The sequence below is a fragment of the Homo sapiens genome, chromosome 6 (assembly GCF_000001405.40).
Source record: "Homo sapiens chromosome 6, GRCh38.p14 Primary Assembly".
Lineage (NCBI taxonomy): Eukaryota > Metazoa > Chordata > Mammalia > Primates > Hominidae > Homo > Homo sapiens.
In genome coordinates this window covers 35,473,597-35,493,580 of record NC_000006.12, presented here as the reverse complement: position 1 = coordinate 35,493,580, position 19,984 = coordinate 35,473,597, and the positions used below count along the sequence as shown (strand labels likewise).

At 55.9% G+C, this 19,984-nt stretch overlaps 1 protein-coding gene across 2 annotated transcripts in view, besides 12 other annotated features; it reads left to right on the top strand.

Annotated features, from left to right (window-relative positions):
* The window catches only part of TEAD3 (TEA domain transcription factor 3), a 23,483-nt gene extending 3,499 nt beyond the window's left edge, over positions 1-19,984 (top strand). Inside the window, exons 2-13 of one of the 2 annotated variants that reach the window (NM_001395214.1) lie at positions 6,870-7,120; positions 8,957-9,021; positions 13,459-13,521; positions 14,265-14,276; positions 15,010-15,147; positions 15,257-15,306; positions 16,209-16,270; positions 17,146-17,279; positions 17,489-17,662; positions 17,875-18,015; positions 18,093-18,245; positions 18,424-19,984. In NM_001395214.1, coding sequence (NP_001382143.1) covers positions 6,919-7,120; positions 8,957-9,021; positions 13,459-13,521; positions 14,265-14,276; positions 15,010-15,147; positions 15,257-15,306; positions 16,209-16,270; positions 17,146-17,279; positions 17,489-17,662; positions 17,875-18,015; positions 18,093-18,245; positions 18,424-18,537 — 1,308 coding nt within the window. In that variant the 5' untranslated portion in view covers positions 6,870-6,918 and the 3' untranslated portion in view covers positions 18,538-19,984. Of the gene's footprint in view, positions 1-6,869; positions 7,121-8,956; positions 9,022-13,206; positions 13,270-13,458; positions 13,522-14,264; positions 14,277-15,009; positions 15,148-15,256; positions 15,307-16,208; positions 16,271-17,145; positions 17,280-17,488; positions 17,663-17,874; positions 18,016-18,092; positions 18,246-18,423 lie in introns of both variants that reach the window. The other variant, NM_003214.4, reaches the window with a different exon arrangement.
* Positions 684-1,257: an enhancer, noted in NCBI's record as "H3K27ac-H3K4me1 hESC enhancer chr6:35460101-35460674 (GRCh37/hg19 assembly coordinates)". NCBI's record gives its function as "activates a minimal SCP1, AML or CMV promoter by ChIP-STARR-seq in primed H9 embryonic stem cells {active_cell/tissue: H9 hESC(primed)}" and the evidence as "EXISTENCE:reporter gene assay evidence [ECO:0000049][PMID:30033119]".
* Positions 684-4,713: a biological region, named in NCBI's record as "VISTA enhancer hs1887".
* Positions 755-4,229: an enhancer, noted in NCBI's record as "VISTA enhancer hs1887". NCBI's record gives its function as "enhancer in: heart[4/5]" and the evidence as "EXISTENCE:transgenic organism evidence [ECO:0001131][PMID:17130149]".
* Positions 1,258-1,833: an enhancer, noted in NCBI's record as "H3K27ac-H3K4me1 hESC enhancer chr6:35459525-35460100 (GRCh37/hg19 assembly coordinates)". NCBI's record gives its function as "activates a minimal SCP1, AML or CMV promoter by ChIP-STARR-seq in primed H9 embryonic stem cells {active_cell/tissue: H9 hESC(primed)}" and the evidence as "EXISTENCE:reporter gene assay evidence [ECO:0000049][PMID:30033119]".
* Positions 2,986-3,561: an enhancer, noted in NCBI's record as "H3K27ac-H3K4me1 hESC enhancer chr6:35457797-35458372 (GRCh37/hg19 assembly coordinates)". NCBI's record gives its function as "activates a minimal SCP1, AML or CMV promoter by ChIP-STARR-seq in naive H9 embryonic stem cells {active_cell/tissue: H9 hESC(naive)}" and the evidence as "EXISTENCE:reporter gene assay evidence [ECO:0000049][PMID:30033119]".
* Positions 3,562-4,137: an enhancer, noted in NCBI's record as "H3K27ac-H3K4me1 hESC enhancer chr6:35457221-35457796 (GRCh37/hg19 assembly coordinates)". NCBI's record gives its function as "activates a minimal SCP1, AML or CMV promoter by ChIP-STARR-seq in naive H9 embryonic stem cells {active_cell/tissue: H9 hESC(naive)}" and the evidence as "EXISTENCE:reporter gene assay evidence [ECO:0000049][PMID:30033119]".
* Positions 4,138-4,713: an enhancer, noted in NCBI's record as "H3K27ac-H3K4me1 hESC enhancer chr6:35456645-35457220 (GRCh37/hg19 assembly coordinates)". NCBI's record gives its function as "activates a minimal SCP1, AML or CMV promoter by ChIP-STARR-seq in primed H9 embryonic stem cells {active_cell/tissue: H9 hESC(primed)}" and the evidence as "EXISTENCE:reporter gene assay evidence [ECO:0000049][PMID:30033119]".
* Positions 4,714-5,289: an enhancer, noted in NCBI's record as "H3K27ac-H3K4me1 hESC enhancer chr6:35456069-35456644 (GRCh37/hg19 assembly coordinates)". NCBI's record gives its function as "activates a minimal SCP1, AML or CMV promoter by ChIP-STARR-seq in primed H9 embryonic stem cells {active_cell/tissue: H9 hESC(primed)}" and the evidence as "EXISTENCE:reporter gene assay evidence [ECO:0000049][PMID:30033119]".
* Positions 6,440-7,015: an enhancer, noted in NCBI's record as "H3K27ac-H3K4me1 hESC enhancer chr6:35454343-35454918 (GRCh37/hg19 assembly coordinates)". NCBI's record gives its function as "activates a minimal SCP1, AML or CMV promoter by ChIP-STARR-seq in primed H9 embryonic stem cells {active_cell/tissue: H9 hESC(primed)}" and the evidence as "EXISTENCE:reporter gene assay evidence [ECO:0000049][PMID:30033119]".
* Positions 7,592-8,167: an enhancer, noted in NCBI's record as "NANOG-H3K27ac-H3K4me1 hESC enhancer chr6:35453191-35453766 (GRCh37/hg19 assembly coordinates)". NCBI's record gives its function as "activates a minimal SCP1, AML or CMV promoter by ChIP-STARR-seq in primed H9 embryonic stem cells {active_cell/tissue: H9 hESC(primed)}" and the evidence as "EXISTENCE:reporter gene assay evidence [ECO:0000049][PMID:30033119]".
* Positions 13,129-13,629: an enhancer, noted in NCBI's record as "H3K4me1 hESC enhancer chr6:35447729-35448229 (GRCh37/hg19 assembly coordinates)". NCBI's record gives its function as "activates a minimal SCP1, AML or CMV promoter by ChIP-STARR-seq in naive and primed H9 embryonic stem cells {active_cell/tissue: H9 hESC(naive and primed)}" and the evidence as "EXISTENCE:reporter gene assay evidence [ECO:0000049][PMID:30033119]".
* Positions 18,930-19,069: an enhancer, noted in NCBI's record as "active region_24408". NCBI's record gives its function as "activates an Ori minimal core promoter by ATAC-STARR-seq in GM12878 lymphoblastoid cells {active_cell/tissue: GM12878}" and the evidence as "EXISTENCE:reporter gene assay evidence [ECO:0000049][PMID:35858748]".

Below are 19,984 nucleotides of genomic sequence, written 5' to 3'. Positions count from 1 at the left end.
CAAGGTGGGCCCCATCCGACATGTGCCAAGCATGAATATGGTATGCGGTGTGTGGGTGACACTGAGCACCAGAAAGCGACACCGTATGTGAGAGAAACCGTGGGGCGTGACTGATGCTGGCGCTGTGGGTGGGTGGTCACTATCTGAGCGTGTTTGGGACTCTCGGGTAGTGTGGGTGACACCCCCAGGGCTGTGCCAGGCAGGGCGTGTAGGAGGCTCTGTGGGATGCTTTTGGGGGCCTGTGGTCCCTGACGTGTGGCATCTATGTGGAAGACAATGAGAAAGACACTGATAAAAACAAAGAAGGAATGTAATTAATGCCTCTCAATTGTACACTTAGAAATGGCTAAAATGGTAAACTTGATGTTATGTATATTTTATCACAATAAAGACATTTTTAAAAACCCAGCAGGAGAGAGATGCGGGTAACAGTGAATGAGCAGGACAGTGGCTGTGACGCAACTGTGTATGCGAGCGAGAGGAAGGGCGCAGAGGAAACCTATTTGTTCTTAGATGACACCGTGACTCTCATGAGGGCACTGACTGAGTGGCTGGTGGGAGCCCAGTGGGCGACCCAGAGTACCAGGAGTCTGGCATGGTAACTGAGAACTGAGAAACCCAGTGACCCCCTATAGTCTGTCTCTCACTGGATACCTGAGATTCCCACCCTGGGACCAGGACAAGATGAGGAGATAAGTCAGTCCCAGGGAGGGGGTGAAGGGAGGTCTGGAAACTGGGCCCTTCTCTCTACAGGGGACTTGAGGGCTGAGTCTCCACCCTCCTACCCGCTATACTGCTTCAGGGAGCAGGAGCGTGACAACAGATGAGATGAGCTTTGCAGAAGGAGGCCTGGGGGGACTATCCCAACCCCCTCTGCTCCCTGAGAAAGCCCCTTTCCCAAGTAGTGTGGGGAGGAGGGGCAGAGAATCTCCAGTCCCAAATTGGAAGCACATTAATAAGCAGGGCGGGGGGTGGGGAGAGAGTGGAGGGGCCCCCACCTCCCTCCTAGTGGGCTCTGCAAATTGCTTCCTCCTGTAAAAATTGAGACCCTGTTCCAGGAAGGAGGGAAGCCCTCCCCAGCCTGGCAGGGTGTGGCTGCTTGGCAGGGTCCCTCCGGGGTCCTTGGGCTGGAGGTGGGGGAGACAGATACATCCCTACTTGCTCTGCTGCCCCAGAGCATGGCTACTTCTAGGGTGGGAGCTTCTGGCAGCTGGAGAACAGCTGGCCCGCTGTGGGGCGGGTAGGGGAGGAGGGAGGAAAAGGCAGAGAGGGTGGGAGCCTCCCTTAGCCCTCCTCAGCTGCCCTCCCCATCCTCGACCCCCCCGGCTGGTCAGCCCAGCTCAGGTTTGAGGGCAGAGATTTGGGAGGAAACTGCTGATTTCACTGATCTTGCCACATTTTGAGTGATGTTCTCACTCCAAGTGAGAATGCTTTGGGGGCTGGGGTCCCTGCAGGGGTGGACTGCTGGCTGCTAGACCCAGGAAGGTCACAGCTCAGCTCGTCCTCCCAGCAGGGCTGGTGCAGGGGAAGGGGTAAGACAGGAGGTGCCCACTCACCCAGACTGGCTTTTTCTGTGCCTCCTACCAAGGCAGTGGCTCTGGGGCCCCTAAAGGGAGCTACAGGGCTGGGTGGTCTGGAGGCTGCAGGGTCTGTGGGGGTGGGGGACCAGGGCCTCTGCAGCGGCCCCAGCTCCAGCCTGATCCCTGGAGCTGTCCAGCCAGTTCTTCCAGCAGGTCTTGCCCCAGGGTGGGGGTGGGCAGCAAGGTGCCCCTTATCTTCCCCAGGGCCCCAAAGCCTGCTCACCCAGCCTCCTAGCCCCCATCCCTGCCTCCACCCAGAGGCCTTCTGAGCCTGAAAGGCTGAGGGCCCTGGGAGAGGGGAAGCGGGTGTGGCTGGTCAGGATGAGGGTGAAGGCAGACTGAGTCCCCTGGGGGTCTGCAGCCTGCTGGCGGGTTTGCAGGACAGGTACAACAGGACTCCTCTGCAGAGGCAGATGGGAGGGGTTCTGAGAGGAGGTGGAGGGTAGGAGCCCCTGAGATGGGAGTGGGGGTGTCCTGGATGGTGGCCAGCCCCAGCCCCTGGCAGTGGCCTCCCTTGTCACTCCCTCCCTCTGTTTTGCCTTGGCCTCTGGGTCTCTGTCCTTGTCCCTGTCTTTTTCTTTCTCCCCATCCCCTCCTGGTCTGCCCCTCCCTCGATGCCTATCATATCTGAGTTTCTGGTCTACCCCTCTCTGCTGTGTGTCTCTTTCTAGGTCTTTGTTGGTTGCCTTGTCTGTGCCCCTCCCCTGCCCTCCTTCTCCCCTTCTCCCTTCACCCCCCACCGGCTCTGTCTGTCAGTCTGTGGGTCTGAGGGTCCAGCACTCCCCCGCCCTGCCTCCACATCTCTCCTGGGGTCTCTCCCTTCACTCTGCGGGGCTCTGGTCTGTCCCCCACTGGGTTGGGCTTTCTGTCTGTCACTCACTGGGACTCTCCTGTCTCTGGTCTGTTTTCTCTCTGGGTTCACCTCAGCTTCTCTTTGCCCCAGACTCTCCCCCAGCCTGTCTCCCCTGCCCCTCCTGTCTGTCTCAGGCCCCACCCCGGCCTTGGTCTCCCTCCCCTTGACCCTCACTTGGGTCTCCTCTCTCTCCTACCCCTCTTCATGGCACAGCACAGCGAGGCAGAGTTTCTAGATACCTGGGCATCATCAGCCAGCAGCCCAGGGCTTGCCCTCTCGCCCGCAGTCAGCTTTCTCTAGATGTCCCACCCCTCCACCAAGCCAGAGTCCCACATTTGCCCCAGCCCAGCCCGCACCTGTCCAGGGAGCCATAGCCTCCTCTCTCAGCCCGGCCTGGGTCCCAGCAGTTAGAGGATCTAGGGAGAAGAAGGCGGGCACATGCTGGTCTCTAGGAGAACAGAGCAGCCAGTGCTCACGCCTCCTGCAGACTCCCTTCCACTGAGACCCCGGTCCAGCCCCCAGACGGGGGCAGCTGCCTGCCCACGACTGCCCATGTGTGTGCCTCAGCTTGGGGGTGCACATTCTCACGTGGTTGTCCTCCCGAGCACTCGCACAGCCCCTCTGCACAGTGTGCTCCTGTGCATGGCTGTGTGTGGGGAGTGCCACTTGCCCCTGTGTTGGTGCCTCTGCCCCAGGAGCGTTCCTAGAAAGTGAGTCTCGCATGCGTCTAGGAGCCAGCCGAAGGGAGGGACGGTGGTCCTATTCTCTCCTTGACACGTCCTTTGGGCCGTCCCCCCTCCCCTCCCCCTCACCAGCTGCCAGCGGTCCCAGCCAGGGGCCGCCTGCCCCGCCCCCCCAGTCTGTCCCAGCTCCCAAGCCTGCTGCTGTGTTCGCCATATTTGGCCACAGTGCTCCCGCGGGGGGCGGGGCGGGGCTGACATCACCCTAAGAAGGGGGGGCCACAGCCTGCTTGAGGGGAGGCGGGCAGGGACTTGGGGGAGGCAGGAAAGTTGCTTTAAAAGTCTGGGGCTGCCTGGGCCGCTGCTGCTCGAGGGAGGCCTCGGGAAAGGGGTTAAGAGGGGCCTTAGCTCATTGTAGCCCCTCTTCTCCCTCCCCTCTAACAGCTCTGTGGCAGTGTCAGACTGACACCTGTGGACAGGCCCTGCATCCCAACTATTTCAACAGGGGAGTCCCTAGGTGCCCCCACCCAGCTAGCACACCCCTGTCCCCTTAATTTTTTCTTTTTGTTTTTTTAATTTAAATTTAATTTTTAAAAATAGAGACAAGGTTTTCACTATGTTGTCCAGGCTGGTCTTGAACTCCTGGCCTCAAGTGAGCTTCCCAGAGTGCTGGGATTATAGTCGTGAGCCACCACCCCCCACATTTCCTTATTTATTTATTTATATTTATTTTGTTTACCCCTCACATTTCTATTCCAAGAATTCCCCTCTCGTTGAGGAGTAGGGCCTGGGGCTCTGGATCCAGTTTCCTGGGGTGAGGGACAGGCTGGGAATGAGGGCATCTGGCCCCTCTGACAGGTCAGGGGCACAGCTCCTTCTGGCCGCCCACTGGCCATGGGAGAGAGATTCCTGGTGGCTCTGGAGGCATCACAGAAAGGGCTGTACGGCAGTGCGGGGGTCTTCAAGTTGCTCCAGTTGCTTGGGTTGAGGGGGACCTCCTGGGCAGACTTAGGGCAGTTGCTGTGACAGCTGAACCTCCTTTCTCTCTCAGGTGGTGGGGTCTCTCAGCACCCTCCCTATAACCTTCCTGGTTATAAAACCGAAGCCAGCTTACCTGGGTTCAGAACCCAGCCCTAGTACTTACTTGTTGTGTGCCCTAAGGCAAGTTGCTTAACTTCTCTGTTTCTTGGGTTCCTCATCTATAAACTAGGAATAATAATAGTATCTGCCCCATAGGGTTATTGTGAGGATTAAATGAGTCAATGTGTGTGAAATCCCAGAACAGTGCCTGGCATATGACAGGTACTGTTAGTAGTAGTAATATTAAGTCTAGACTCAATAGTTTAGAATAATTACAATAACTAGTTGAATAGCTGAATAACTAACTGAATAATAGTTTAGAATAATCAAGGGCCGGGCGCAGTGGCTCACGCCTGTAATCCCAACACTTTGGGAGGCCGAGGCTGGCGGACCATGAGGTCAGAAGTTTGAGACCAGCCTGGCCAACATGGTGAAACCCCGTCTTTACTAAAAATACAAAAAATTATCTGGGCATGGTGGCATGCGCCTGTAATCCCAGCTACAGGTGCGTGCCACCATGCTGAGGGGGGAGGCTGCATGGGAGTCTGAGGCAGGAGAATCGCTTGAACCCAGGAGGTGGAGGTTGCGGTGAGCAGAGATCGCGCCATTGCACTCTAGCCTGGGCGACAGAGCAAGACTCCGTCTAAAAAATAAAAAACAAATAAAAAATTTAAAAAAGAAAAAAAATAACCGAATAACTGGCTGACATTCAGACCTCCCAGGCCCTCCCCACCTCATTCTACTAGTGATCCCCTCAAGCCTCCCTAAGCAAACAGGTGGCTCTGCAGAGAGAGTCCACCCCGACTCAAGCAGCAGGACCTGGAATTCATCTTCCTCTCCCTGGCTTCTGACGGTGTCCCCTACATCTCCACCCCTCCCCTTTCCCTGCTGCCCAGAGCTAAGTCCCAGGATCCAGCCATCATGGGCTCTTAGGTTTCCAGGACCCTGAATACATTGGACATGTGGGTTCTGGGGCTGAAGGGGATTTGGGGTGAGTCTTGGGGTTGTGAGTGATAGGGGGCCTGGTGGGGTGTGGTCCAAATTAATAGCCTGGCAGGTTCAGGGCACTCACAGTTTACAGAGCCCTGGCCCACATGTAGGATGGGCCAGGGCGGGGGCGGGCGTGTTGGTGGTTTACGGGCTGCTGTGGGGCCTGGAGGTGCGGGAACAGGAAGTGGGATAGAGGAGCGGGTGAGGTTGAGCCAGGCTGTTGGCCAAGCACCTTCTCTGCTGCTCCCTCACCAGTTCCCTTTTTGTAATTCCTGGGGCAGTTCCTGCCCTACATTAGGCCCCTTGGCAGAGTTCTGGTTAGTTATCGATTTGGGGGAAGATAAAATGGTGCCCTTCTGGGTCAGGGACTCTCCTTGTCCCCTGAGGGGTCCTTAGCAGGGTTGCACTGATGCTGGGGCGAGAGTGAGGGGTGGAGGTCCCTGACTGGGGATGTGGACACTGGGGAGGAGGAGCTGACAGGGAGAGCTGAGGAAACACAGCCCTGCTCCTCTGCTCCTCCTCTCTGTGCTCCTCAGCATGCCTTTGGCAGCTGCGTGACCTTGTGAGCCTTAGTTTTCATCTCTGGATAATGGGCTTTATTCCCTACCTTCCCTGCTTTAGTGTTTTTTGTTGTTGTTGTTTGTTTGTTTTTGTGTGTTTTGTTTTGTTTTTTTTTGAGACAAGGTCTGCTCTGTCACCCAGGCTGGAGTGCAGTGGTGCTATCTCCACTCACTGCAACCTCTGCCTCTGGAGTTCAAGTGATCTTCGTGCCTCAGCCTCCTGAGTAGCTAGGATTGCAGGAGTATGCTGCCATGCCCTGCTAATTTTTTTTTTTTTTTTTTTTTTTTTGAGGAGTCTCGCTCTATTGCCTAGGCTGGAGTGCAGTGACGTGATCTCGGCTCACTGCAACCTCTGCCTCCTGGGTTGAAGCGATTCTCCTGCTTCAGCCTCCTGAGTAGCTGGGATTACAAGTGCGTGCCACCATGCCCGGCTAATTTTTGTATTTTTAGTAGAGATGGGGTTTCACCATGTTGGTCAGTCTGGTCTCAAACACCTGACCTCATGATCCAACCACCTCGGCCTCCCAAAGTGATGGGATTATAGGCATGTGCCACTGCGTCCAGACCTGATATATTTTTAGGTAGAGATGGGTTTTCACCATGTTGGTCAGGTTGGTCTTGAGCTCCTGACCTTAAATGATCCACCCACCTCGGCCTCCCAAAGTGCTGGGATTACAGGCATGAGCCATCGCGCCGGCCTAGTTTTGTGAGGTTTGAATGAATATGAAAATGCCTTTTCCCTACAAAAGTGCTGTGTTGGTATGAGGCATTGTTGTTACCGATTACCTATTTCTTGAGTATTATGAGCTGGGCATGTGGTTGGTACTTTGTCATGAGCTCATTTACATTTTAACCCTCACAACCTCAAGGAGGTCTCCTCAAGGAGACCCTTTTCTCGTTTTACAGGACTGAGGCCTAGAGAGGTGAAGTAGCGCGTGCATCCCAGGTCACACAGCTCTGAACAAGCTGTGGTTGTTCCTCTGGTTACCTCCGTTCCACCTGGAGCACCTGCTCCTAGGGTGGGCTTGGGGCTGGGGGCGGAGCTCCAGAGCCAGCGGCTGTGGGATAGGAGATTGCTGTGGTCGAGGAGGACCCTGGTCCCAGTTCCTGTCTGTCTGTCCCCCAGGCTCAGCCGCCCAGTGGGCTCAGGCCCAGAGCCCAGAGCAACCAGCACAATAGCGTCCAACAGCTGGAACGCCAGCAGCAGCCCCGGGGAGGCCCGGGAGGATGGGCCCGAGGGCCTGGACAAGGGGCTGGACAACGATGCGGAGGGCGTGTGGAGCCCGGACATCGAGCAGAGCTTCCAGGAGGCCCTGGCCATCTACCCGCCCTGCGGCCGGCGGAAGATCATCCTGTCAGACGAGGGCAAGATGTACGGTGCGTGCCGGGGGGCGCGGGCGGGACTGCGGCCCTTCCCCCTGCTCTCTGCCCTCTCACCCAACCGGTTTGGTGACGTCGGAGGCCGCCAGCCGCTGGCCGGGCGAGTCTGGGCGCGCAAGCCTGTGTGTCTGGATCCTCCTCCGCGCTCCTCCTCATAAACAAGCCGGGCTCGCCCCCTAACCAGGGCGCAGCCCACACCTTGGCACCCCCGCCTGCTCCTCCTCTCCTCCCCGCTACCGGCCTGGAGGTTTCGAGGTGACTCAGTGGGCCCAAGAAAGTGGGTCAGCCCAGTCTGCGCCGGTCGAGGCCCGGAACGGGGTCCCTTCCCGGAGGAGGATGTGGAAAGGAGGCCCGGTGATAGTCGCCCGGTGACTCCCACAGCCCGTATAGTTCTCTCCAGTGCGGGCTGTGGGAGGTCGCACGGGGACAAAGGCCTGCGTTGGGGCTGTGGGGACGCGTTCCCTCCTCAGTCCCCTTCCCCACTCCTTGGGTTTGTTGGCCCTCCTCTTTGCCATCTTGCCCATTTCCAGAAGGGAGTGTCCCCTCTTGTCCAGCCCTGAGAGGGCTCTCCCAGAGCTGCATTTTTGGGATAACTCGACCCTTCTGGGCCTGGTTCCTGGCCAGCTCCCCTATTCCTCCCAGCAGCCCGTGGCTGAGCGAGGCAGGCCCAGCCCTTCCCAGGGCGCGCCTGTGGGAAGGGATCAGGTCCGCTCCGTGTCCCTTGGCCACGCCCACCCAGCCCCAGAGCCCCACCTTGGGGGCAGGCAGATGGTCCAGGGTGCCTTCCACAGGGTGGGTGCTGTCTGCCCCCACTGCTGCCTCCCAGGCTGGGGAGCCCCACAGGGTATTTTTAGACAGGGTGGAGAGAGTGGGGTGGAGAGGGGCTGGCGGGAGGGAGGAGCAATGGGGCTGGTTCAGTCATCGGAATGGAATTTGGAGAATTTGGCCATTCTGGGGAGGCCTTGGGTTGGAGGGCAGAGAGCCTGGATTTGGGGGTAGAGGTGTACACCTTGACCATGCTGACTTGGGCTCAGCCGTGTGGCCCAGGCATCCCCCTTTCAGGCCCAAGTCCCTGGACACTGGCAGCTTTTGGGCCCTCAGAGGGTCTGTGGTGCAGAACAGACCCCGCACCCCAAGGCTCACAAGGCTCTCACAGGGTGGAGAGACACTGGGAACTGGTGACATGGGGGTGACAGGCACAAGGACATGGCGACATGCTCAGTGACACATCTTGACACAGGCCGCCAGTGTAGGAGGCACATTGGAGGCGGTCAGTGCTGCCTTCCTGTCCTTCCTGGTCTTTTACCAGAGAAGGGAAGGGACTTGACCAGGGTAAAGACAGAGCAAGGGCAGGACATCCACCTGGGGCAGGCTCATTCACACGCCCCCACAAATCCATGCACTAAGAGTACTGGAGCTGGTGACACAGGCAGGAAGCACTGCTGGGGGCTGGGAGGATGGGCGTGCCTGGCCAGGACAGGCCCTACTCAGCTACTGTCCTGCTGACCTGTACCACAGCCACCCGGTCTGTCTGCAGGGAAGCCTGTCAGGGTGCCTAGTGCTGCTCGGCCCTCCTTCCTCCTACCCTGCAGCCCCTCATGCACCCCTCCCCTGAAGAGCAGCCCCTCTAGGTCCTGGAGGTGGTAGGATGCAGCTGTGACTCCCCAGCCACCTTTGCATGCCCTGCATGTGCAGCTTGGGGTGAAGAGAGTGAGGAACAGAAGAGCAGTGTTTTGGGGAGGGTCCTGGAGTGGCTTCCCGGTGGGGTGGGGGCCTCCAGCCTCTGGCTCCACCCTTTGCCCACTCCTCATTTTCTCTCTCACCCCAATCTAGGCCGAAATGAGTTGATTGCACGCTATATTAAACTGAGGACGGGGAAGACTCGGACGAGAAAACAGGTAGAGAGACGGTTTATGCTGGGCCTGCCACCCACACACTCTGTCTCAGCTGCCCCGGTCAACCCCTTGCCCCTACCCTGCCCACCTCCTCGAGGCTGCCCCTGACCTGGACTGCCACCCTCCTTGCCTCATCACACTCCCCTTACCCCCTCGATTTTACACCCTCCCACCCCCAAGCAGCTCCATTCACCCTTCCCACTTCTCTTGGAGAGATGGCCCCACTGTCCTCTCTGACCACCTACTACCCTGCCCAGGGCCTGTGGTTCAGGGACCACAGATAAGCCCACGGGGCTGCTGTGGCTGCTACATGGTCCCTGCCCTGAGTGGCTCACTCACCAGCCAGGGAGCCAGATGGTCAGATGGATGGGTACAGAGCAAGGTGGCGGGGCTGAGAGAGGGTGGGTGCAGGGCACCCTGGGACAAGCAGCCAACCCAGACAAGGCTAGGGGAGTGGGGAGAGAGAGCTGGGAAGGCTCCCTGGAGGAGGTGACACTCGGGATATATTTTTAAGAAGGAATGGGAGTTCGCAAGGCAGAGAAAAGGGAGAAGACCCTTCCTTCCAGGCTGAGGAAGTTGGATATACAACTAATAATCATGGTAAACCCATACAGAGCTTCCTTTAAGTTAATTTATTTCATCCTCTCAGTAACCTTACTAGATAGGTACAGTAATTGTCTTTTTTACTATGAGGAAACTGATGCATAGGGAAGTTAAGTAACTTCTTCAAGCCCCCCAGGCAGGAAAGAGCTGTGCCTGTGGGCAGCCTGATGTGGTGGAGGGAGGGTGGGGACTGCTGGGGTAGGGGACACTCAGCAGGAGACATGGGGGACAGGTTCCCCAAGGGGCAGCGGTGGGCTACAGGAGGGTATGGAGCAGGGAGTGACAGGTGGCAGCTGTTGAGGAAGGCCCTCAAGCAGCCGGGACAATGGATTAGAGAGGGCTGGCTGGAGACAGAGAGGCTGGCCATTGCGGGCATAAGCAGAGGCCTAGATCAACAGTGCCAGGGCCTGGGATGAGGGTAGTGGTGGTGGGAGTGGAGAAAAATGATGATGTAAGAGACAGTTAGTGGCTTCTGATCCAGGGAAGGTGGCAGTGTAGTGACAGAAACCTGAAGGGGAGTGGATGGGAGTGATGGCCCCACTGCCTGGGGGAGAGGCCAGGCTGGAGGCGGGACCTGGAGGAATGGAGGCCAGTGCTACCCTCACACTCCCAGCCTCCTGTCCTGGTGGGATTTGGACCCACAGATCCCCATGGTGCATATGTCAAGTCTGGCCTGTTCCACCTCTTTCTCAAAGGAAGGTTCTGAGCCTCCCTACCCAGTGTAGGGGTGGCAACGATCCCTCATTCATTCAAGCATTTATGAACCACCCTCCCTAAGTCTAGCTCATGCAGCACCAAATTTATTCACTTAGCTAATGATTGACCTACTGCTGTGTTCTAGGCACCAGGGATACCACATGGAGGCGTGCGCCAGAGCCCTGTCCCCTGGAGCCCTTGGGTTCAAATACTGGTTCTACCTGGGAGTGGGCAGTAGTTGGCCTCCCAGCCTTGCATCCTCAGCCATTGAATTAGTTAACATGTGAAGACTCTTAGAACAGCGTAAGCGCTGCAGAAGAATTTGCTGCTGCTGTTATTATTATTCCAGACATTATTATAAACAGAAAGCCGTTCTGAGCTCAGAAGCGAACTCTCAGCGGGTCCTTCTCTACCCAGAAGAGGTGTTCATAGGAACCTGTTAGTCAGAGTGGGAACGGGCCAAGGGTCACTAGGTCACTGTTTTTTTGTTGGTTTTTTTAAGTTTTATAATTAATATAAAAATGGGGTCTCGCGATGTTGGCCATGTTGTTCTTGAACTTTTGGCCTCAAGCAGTCCTCCCGCCTCAGCCTCCCAAAGTGCTAGGATTACGGGCACGAGCCACCACATCCAGCCAAGCTGGGTCACTTTGAACTGAGGCCAGGGTGGATTGCAGACGTGGGGCACATCCCAGCCCCTGAATTCAGGGTCCACCATCACACCTGCTCCTGCCTAGCATCCTGAGAGGGCTGCCCAGAAAAGAGCTTTTACAAACCAGCTGTTGATAAGCTCAGAATTTTAGAAACCACTGTCTTCATTATAAGGGCATAAGGTACAAGGATGAAACTCCCCCTGTCTTTACTCTTTCTTAGAACTCTGGGTTTTTACATCCCAGTGAAAGGGGATCTGTCCTCTGGTTGTGAGGACAAGGCATGTCTTTATGTGTTAAAAAGAGTAACCACTGACAAGGTTTTTTTTGATCCTTTTAAAATTTACTTTCGACCTGTAATCCCAGGACTTTGGGAGGCCGAGGCAGGTGGATCACTTGGGTTAGGAGTTTGAGACCAGCCTGGTCAACATGGTGAAACCCCGTCTCTACTAAAAAATACAAAAATTAGCTGGGTGTGGTGGTGTGCACCTGGAATCTCAGCTATTCGGGAGGCTAAGACAGGAGAATCGCTTGAACCCAGGAGGCAGAGGTTGCAGTGAGCCGAGATCACGCCACTGCACTCTAGCCTGGGTGACAGAGCGAGACTCCATCTCAAAAAAAGAAAAAATTACTTTTGGCAAAGAAATGCAGTTTTAGGTTTTTACAGATACACACATGCAGCAATTCGTAGTAAGCACAATGCCTCCATATGGACAAAAGAGCTAAATATTAAGTTAGAATGAAGCTCTGTGTGACTTTCAGCTGTTACAGAGTCAACCATCTGGAGGCAGTCTTCTGAGCTAAGGGTCCAAGTGAGTCCTGGTAACGGAGCTTGGTGGTGAGTGGAGTCAGAGTGGGCTCTGGAGTCAGACCGCCTGGGTTTGAATCCTGGCTGTAGCACTCAGCCGTGTGACAGCTTAACCTTTCCAGGCTTTAGTTTCGTTATCTGTAAGTCAGGGATATTAGTACCTAGGTTTTTGTGTTGCTGTAAAGATCAAGGGGTCAGTATGTATAAATGCAGAGGACGATAGTATCTGTGCTCAGTAAACGCCAGTTACTGTCACAGCGTGAAGTGGTCAGTAATTTTGCTGGACAGGAGTCTGATTCCTGGGCTCAGTGAGGCAGTGTGAGGAGCACCCACCCAGGTCCTAACCAGGTGGTATCACATACTTACTCACTGTCAGGCTGTGATTAAAGAGAAAAACGAGCTTTCTTTGTGGGAGTAAAAACAACTCGCAAAGAAAGCCAATTGCCAATGCTGAAAGCGTGAAGCGGCGTCAAGGATCTGTGTGTTTCCTGGGGAAAACAGTGACATTTGGGTTCTCTGTGCCTCTGGGTCAGATCTTTCACAAGGTCAAGGGTCTGTGGTGTCAGCTGGGCACACAGCCCAGGGCACACACATCCAGACAGTGATTAGCTCAAGTTTGCCTGCGGAGGCTGCGAGGAGGAGATGGCTAGAGAAGAATTGCAATTAAGAGCACCCACTGAGTACATATATACACACTAGCATATATTAGCCCAAGCAGAAAGAAGGTATATTGGGGGGAAAAGTTATGGGAGCAAAGCAGGAGGGCCAGGCCTCGTTTCATAGGCTGGGGCTGTGGTTGGGGTTGACAGGAGGACTCAGGCGGTGGTACCCGGGAGATCCCTGGTAGAGGATGTGGCCTTGGTGTATAAGCTAGTGGCCAACAGGAGCACCATGGCCGTTGCTAGCACCTGTGGTGCCAATAAGAAAAAGGTTGTCTCCTCTGAGGACACCAGTGAGAAAAAGTCACCCTTTTTGCGGGGAGGACAGGGTTAGGCACAGCCTTGTACAAGGACACATAGCTTGGGCAGCAGAACTTGGGCTGGATTTCAGCCCTCACTGGTGCCCTTTGGGCCAGTGAACAACCTGTGCAGCTGTACATGGTGGCCCTGGAAGCCACTGTGGCTCTTGATCATGATAAGACCAAAAAGAGAACAGAATTGGCAGTGTCAAGAGGTGTCTGAACCGGGCACAATGGCACATGCCTATAGTCATAGCTACTCGGGAGGCTGTGGTGGGAGGATCGCTTGAGCCCAGGAGTTTGAGATCAGCCCAGGCAACATAAACCCTGTTTCAAAAAGAAAAAAGGTCCCCCCATTTACATGTAGTTCCCTAGAGATGAGAGGTCTGGGATGCTCCTTGCCCGCGGCCACCCCATGGCTGTGCCTCCTCACTGTCTATGTTTTCCTCTCTGGCGGGGCGCGGGGCGGCCCCTAGGTGTCCAGCCACATACAGGTTCTAGCTCGGAAGAAGGTGCGGGAGTACCAGGTTGGCATCAAGGTATGTTGGGTGCCTGGCGGGGGCCTTCAGCCCTCCTGGGCCCCTCACCCACGGCGCTATCTCTGCATAGCTCAGGCCTTTCCTTGGCCAGCTCTCCAGCCCCACTGTGCCTCTTTTCTGGCTGAAGCTCTGTTTCTGCCTCTCCTTCCGCTCTTTCTGTTCTTTTTCTCTTTCTTTCTCTCTCTACAGGTCTCTAGCCACTTGCAAGTTCTAGCCAGGCGGAAATCTCGGGAGATTCAGTCTAAGCTGAAGGTACGGGGCCCCTGCCACCTGGCCTGGCCTGCCCAGCACCCTCCTGGGTGCAGGCCTGTCGCTGCTCTGTGGCTCCAGCCTGGGACAGGCAAGGGGCTGAGAAGCTGTGAGGGGGTCCAGAAAGAAACACAAGTGGCAGCAGGAAGCCCAAGGGCCCTGTCAGTGAGGGAGAGGGAGACCATCTGGGGGCCACTAAGGCCCACCCCTCCTCTTCTCTGTTTTTCTTTTTCTCCTTCTTCCTGACTGCTGCTTACTAACTGCATGGGGACTTCCGTGGGCAGGGAGGAGGCCCCGGGGCTACTGGCCGGCAGGGCTATTGAGGTGGGCATGGCAGTTCCTTGCAGAGCTGGCTGTCCTGCAGCTGCGGATCTCAGAGTCTGGGGTTCATGACTGAGGCCCTTCTGAGGGCCTCACGCTGGCCGTGTGCTCTTCTCCCTGCCCACAGCGGTGCAGCAGAGGGGGCCTCTTACCCCCAGGCCCCCATGCCCAGAGCCTAGTTCCAGAACATATGGACAGACCCAGAGGGCACCAGCTTGTTTTCCCTCACTCTGCCCTTTCCAGGGCTTGCCCCAGCTGGCAGGCACTCCCTCTGTGGGGACGGGGAGGGTCTGCTGAGCTTCCTTGGGCTCCTCGGAAGCTAAAACCCATGGGCACTGGGTGGAGGTAGGCGCAAAGACGTCCCTCAGCCCACAGCCCTGGTGCTGCACATGTCCTCTAATCTATCTTCCTTCTCTCCCTCACAGGCCATGAACCTGGTAAGTAGCACAGCCCTCCCCAGTGGGAGTGGGGGAAAGGGTCTTAACACCTAATACAGGATTTTCAAATGACAGATTATGAAACCAACTTAATAGGTGTGCAAGCCTCATTTTAAAAAAACGAAATGGCTGGGCGTGGTGGCTCACGCCTGTAATCCCAGCACTTTGGGAGGCAGAGGTGGGTGGATCACAAGGTCAGGGGATCGAGACCAGCCTGACCAACATGGTGAAACTCCGTCTCTACTAAAAATACAAAAATTAGCCAGGCATGGTGACGAATGCCTGTAATCCCAGCTACTCCAGAGGCTGAGGCAAGAAAATTGCTTGAACTCAGGAGGCAGAGCTTGCAGTGAGCCGAGATCATGCCGCTGCACTCTAGCCTGGGTGACAGAGCGAGACTCCGTCTCAAAAAAAAAAAAAAAAAAAAGAAAATAGGAGAGTACATGACATACAGTAAGAGGAAATATCTTGACATATATTGGCCTTTGGAATAAAATAATTTCTTACTGTGGTTGTGGTCAGCGGTGATGGGCACTTGGGGGACTGAGACCAGGAAGGTGCAGAGACTCTCCCAAGATCACACAGCAGAGCTGGGGCTGGAATCCAGGCCTGGATCTTCAGGAACACCTGCCATCCTAGTGCTTTGGACTCTGCTGGGGTCATGGGAGGGGCGCTAAAGCAAGCCTGGCCTCATCCAGCGTGGCCCTGGCTTCATGCAGCCTCCTCTCCCCAGGACCAGGTCTCCAAGGACAAAGCCCTTCAGAGCATGGCGTCCATGTCCTCTGCCCAGATCGTCTCTGCCAGTGTCCTGCAGAACAAGTTCAGCCCACCTTCCCCTCTGCCCCAGGCCGTCTTCTCCACTTCCTCGCGGGTACATGGGTCCCAGGAGGTGGGCTGGTGTGGGGGTGTGCTGTAAAGGATGAGCTTTAGTGGGGTTCATGGATGCTGAGGGGCCCCTGGGCCTTGTCTCATCCCTGCAGTTCTGGAGCAGCCCCCCTCTCCTGGGACAGCAGCCTGGACCCTCTCAGGAGTGAGTATTGTGGCTCATCATCCCACGCCCTCTTCCTCCTGGCAGCCGCACAGGGCTTCCCTCCCATTTGGGCTCCAGCAACAGCTGAGCAAAGTTTTAATTCAAAAATAGAGGGATGCAGGCTGGGTGGTGGCTCACACCTGTAATCAATCCTAGCACTTTGGGAGGCCGAGGTGGGAGGATTGCTTGAGGCCAGGAGTTCAGAATCAGCCTGGGTAACAGGGCAAGACTTGCTCTCTCAAAAAAAAAAAAAAAAATTAGCTGGGTGTGGTGGTGCGTGCCTGTAGTCCTAGCTACGTGGGAGGCCAAGGCAGGCTAGGATTGCTTGAGCTCAGGAGTTCCAGAGTTCCAGGCTGTAGTGAGACTTGATTGCACCATTGCAACTACAGCCTGAGCAACAGAGGGAGACCCTGTCTCTGAAAAAAGAAAAAAAAAAGCTGGAGAGTGGCAACAGGACAGCTGATGCGCTGGCTGTTCACTATGCATTCTCTCATCAGCATGCATCCACTTGTCATCCATCTCTTTGTTTACTTTCTGCTCAGTTTCTGAGGCAGTCTCTCAGTTAACAAGTCAGGTGGTCAAGTGTGCTGGTTCTTCAACTCTAAAACAACTTTCATCAAAAGACCCTCAGCTTAAGGAGCAGCTTTTCAGGGTGGGGGGTGGGGAAGGTTGAAATGAAATCCTACACTAAATGGGCAGATCAGCTGGGAGACGCAGCAGGATTTCACAAAAGCTAAAATGTGCAGAAAACAAAAAGCTTGCGAGTTAGCTTTTCAGCATGCGTTTCTGGGCCTCAGCAGAAAGGCTGGGTGGCTTGCTCCTGGGGTCTTGGAAGAGGGGCTGGGCCAGGTGGAAGGTAGGGAAGAGGGAACCCTCTCACCAGGCTGTGCTCCTGTCTGCAGCATCAAGCCCTTTGCACAGCCAGCCTACCCCATCCAGCCGCCCCTGCCGCCGACGCTCAGCAGTAAGTTCCCCACACGAGGTGCTCTCCCTTGGCACCTGCACCTCCACTCAGGAGAGCTGGGGTCCAACTGTGTGTGTTTGCTTTGGGAGGGAGGGGGTTGCGACATCTACAGGAGATTGGGACAGGCCAGGAATAGCCCCTTTACCTTGTACAATGTTGCTTCCAGATCTCTGGCACAAAACCATAGCCAAGCCAGGCGTGGTGGCTCATGCCTGTAACCCCAGCACTTTGGGAGGCTGAGGCAGGTGGATCACCTGAGGTCAGGAGTTCGAGACCAGCCTGAACAACATGGTGAAACCCCGTCTCTACTAAATACAAAAATTAGCTGGGCGTGGTGGCGCATGGCTATAGTCCCAGCTACTTGGGAGGCTGAGGCAGGAGAATCACTTAAACCCAGTGGGTGGAGGTTGCAGTGAGCCAAGATTGTGCCATTGCACTCCAGCCTGGGCAACAAGAGTGAAACTCCATCTCAGAAAAACAAAAAAACCATAGCCAATACACAGCTACAAGCACACACCACCAAAACCTACATTTACACACATCTCTATGGATAGAAAACTCCCCATAAGGAAATGCACTGAAATCTTAACAAGACTTTCTCTTTCTAGATGGTGGGATTCTGGGTAATTGTTCTTTCCCTTTTTTACTTCTCTGTGTTTTCTGTTTAAACACACAAGGAAATGTTTTTGATATATACTACTAGGGCCACCACGTATGGTTGTGCAGGTTGTACACTGTACAAGGACACATAGTAGGGGAGTCAAAATCCAACTCATGTTCCTTCCCAAAAGGGGCACCTTTGCAAGCTGGGGGCAGCTTTGTCAGTAAGCACCTGCATGCATCCATGCAGATGAAAATCTGTCTCGCCCTCCCAGGTTATGAGCCCCTGGCCCCGCTCCCCTCAGCTGCTGCCTCTGTGCCTGTGTGGCAGGACCGTACCATTGCCTCCTCCCGGCTGCGGCTCCTGGAGTATTCAGCCTTCATGGAGGTGCAGCGAGACCCTGACACGGTAACGTGTTTGGGGGTGAGGGTGAGGCTTTGCACAATTGTGGAGAGGCCGGCCGGGTGATCCAGGGCTGCAACTCAGGATCTGGGGGTTGGGGGTCTGGCCTGTTCAGGAAGCCCTAGGCAATTCTATACCTGTGCAGTGCTCCCTTCCCCGCCCCCGGGCCTGCAAGCCTGAGTACTCTCCTGACCCTGTCTGGGCCCTCCCCACAGTACAGCAAACACCTGTTTGTGCACATCGGCCAGACGAACCCCGCCTTCTCAGACCCACCCCTGGAGGCAGTAGATGTGCGCCAGATCTATGACAAATTCCCCGAGAAAAAGGGAGGATTGAAGGAGCTCTATGAGAAGGGGCCCCCTAATGCCTTCTTCCTTGTCAAGTTCTGGGTGAGTCCCCCTGGCCTTCTCTGCTCCAAGCCCCCTTCCCCACCCCAGAGGTGCAACATCCAGGCCCACTGCATTGACCTCTGACCCTGCTGCATCCTCATGGCTTGTGGGCAGAGTGCCAGAGATGGATCCTTGGGCAGGACTCTGATGTGGTGTGGCGGGAATACTTCTGGTCTCTGCCAGCACCTAACACCCCCCACCCCCATGCCCAGGCCGACCTCAACAGCACCATCCAGGAGGGCCCGGGAGCCTTCTATGGGGTCAGCTCTCAGTACAGCTCTGCTGATAGCATGACCATCAGCGTCTCCACCAAGGTGTGCTCCTTTGGCAAACAGGTGGTAGAGAAGGTGGAGGTGAGTGGGGGCTCTGGGTGGCTTGGTGGGGCTGGGAGCAGGCAGGCCGAGTGACGCCTTCTCCATATTCTCTGCAGACTGAGTATGCCAGGCTGGAGAACGGGCGCTTTGTGTACCGTATCCACCGCTCGCCCATGTGCGAGTACATGATCAACTTCATCCACAAGCTGAAGCACCTGCCCGAGAAGTACATGATGAACAGCGTGCTGGAGAACTTCACCATCCTGCAGGTATGGGGGCAGCAGGGGTCGTGGGGAGTCCCACAGGCCAGGGCCTCCAAGTTGGGTAGCCAGACACATCGCTTGGCTGAGAGGCATAGATCCGGAAAGGAGAATGGTCTGTTCAGCCCCCTGCCCCGTGGCCCTTTTCTCCCTGACCTCCTGAATCTCTTACCTGCTCACCCCCCAGGTGGTCACGAGCCGGGACTCCCAGGAGACCCTGCTTGTCATTGCTTTTGTCTTCGAAGTCTCCACCAGTGAGCACGGGGCCCAGCACCATGTCTACAAGCTCGTCAAAGACTAGGGTGCCCTCTGCGCCTCCTTAAGGATGCAGGGTGAGCATCTCCTCTCCACACCTGCCTGGCACCCCTGGGGGGGTCCAGGATTGAGGATTCATCTACCTGCCAGGCCTCAGGCCCAGGACCCAGGAGGCCTCCCCACCTACCCCAGCACACACACTCCCTGCCACTGTTCTGCGCTTTAATTGTGGGAGAAGAGAGGAGAGGAGGGCTCAGCGGTGGGGCAGCCTGTCCGGGGCGCTGACCCACCATCACCCTGCTCTGCCCAGCCTCGCGTGACCTCAGAGAGGTGGGGATAGGGGACACCTTCAGCCTCCAGCATGTGTGGCCACTGTACCCCCACCCACCCTTGGGGGAGCATGATGGGCAGGTGAGGGCAGGATGGAGACCAAGGGAGTCAGTGAGCAGAGGCCCTGGGAGTGTCCGGTTGGGGTTGGACTGAGGACAGAGGGGCCCACACTTCCTTGCCCCTTTGTGTCCCAGGCCTGGTGCCCAGACTCCTTGCATGGCTTGTGTGGTCCTCAGACTCCGCACAGCGAGCGTAGGTCTCTGGGTTTCAGATGAAGTGCCCAGGCTCCAGGAAGTTGAGGGACCCACAGGAGAGGTGGGCAGAGCTGGAGTTCTCATCCAGGGCTGCTTGTCCCCAGAGCCCAGGTTTATACTACCTCCCTGGGGCGGGGGCTGGCCGCAGGGTAGGGGAGAGGCTCTGCAGTGTGGAGTGGAGCCTCATCGAGGGGCGCTGGGTTAGGGGAGCACCTGTTTCAGACTGGGCATGAAGAAGGGAGCACAGCAGCTACTAGACCCCATTAGCACCTCATTAGCCCACAAGCCAGCCAGGGGCCCCAGGAAGATGGGGCACCCCCCAGCACCCTCCAGATTGAGAGCAAGGTAGAGGAAGGAGTCCCAGCCTCTGGGCAGACCAGAGGCCCAGAGGGAGAGAGTAGCAGAAGGCTTTTGATTTTTCTCTTGCCTGAGGCTTGAATCTGACAAACCCTTGGTGGGCACTGCTCCCTTAGGTTCTTCCCCACCTCAATCTACCTGCCTAGAGTAGCAGCTCCCAGACCCAGTTCTGGGACTGAAGGTTAACCCTTCACCTGCTGTCCCTTCTTAACACCCAGGCCCCCAGAGCCAGCTGGGCCTGTCCAGCAGCCACCTGTGGGTATTTATGAGTTTCATATGAAGTACTGTGCCCCTTCCCTTCCTCATCCCGACCCTGCCCGAGCTTCCTGAAGGTCCTCACTGTTTGCATATCGCTCAGGCCACCTCCAAACCCCACCTAGGTTTTATAATGTATATTATATATTTTTTTGTGTATTTTTAAAATCCAGCTGTGATGGGTTATATCATAAATGCAGCTTGGGGTTGGAGCAGGGGCCCTCAAAGGCCCAGCTCCTGCTCAAAAAAAAAAAAAAAAAAAAATTAAAGTTATTTGTTTGTGGGTCAGTCATGTAA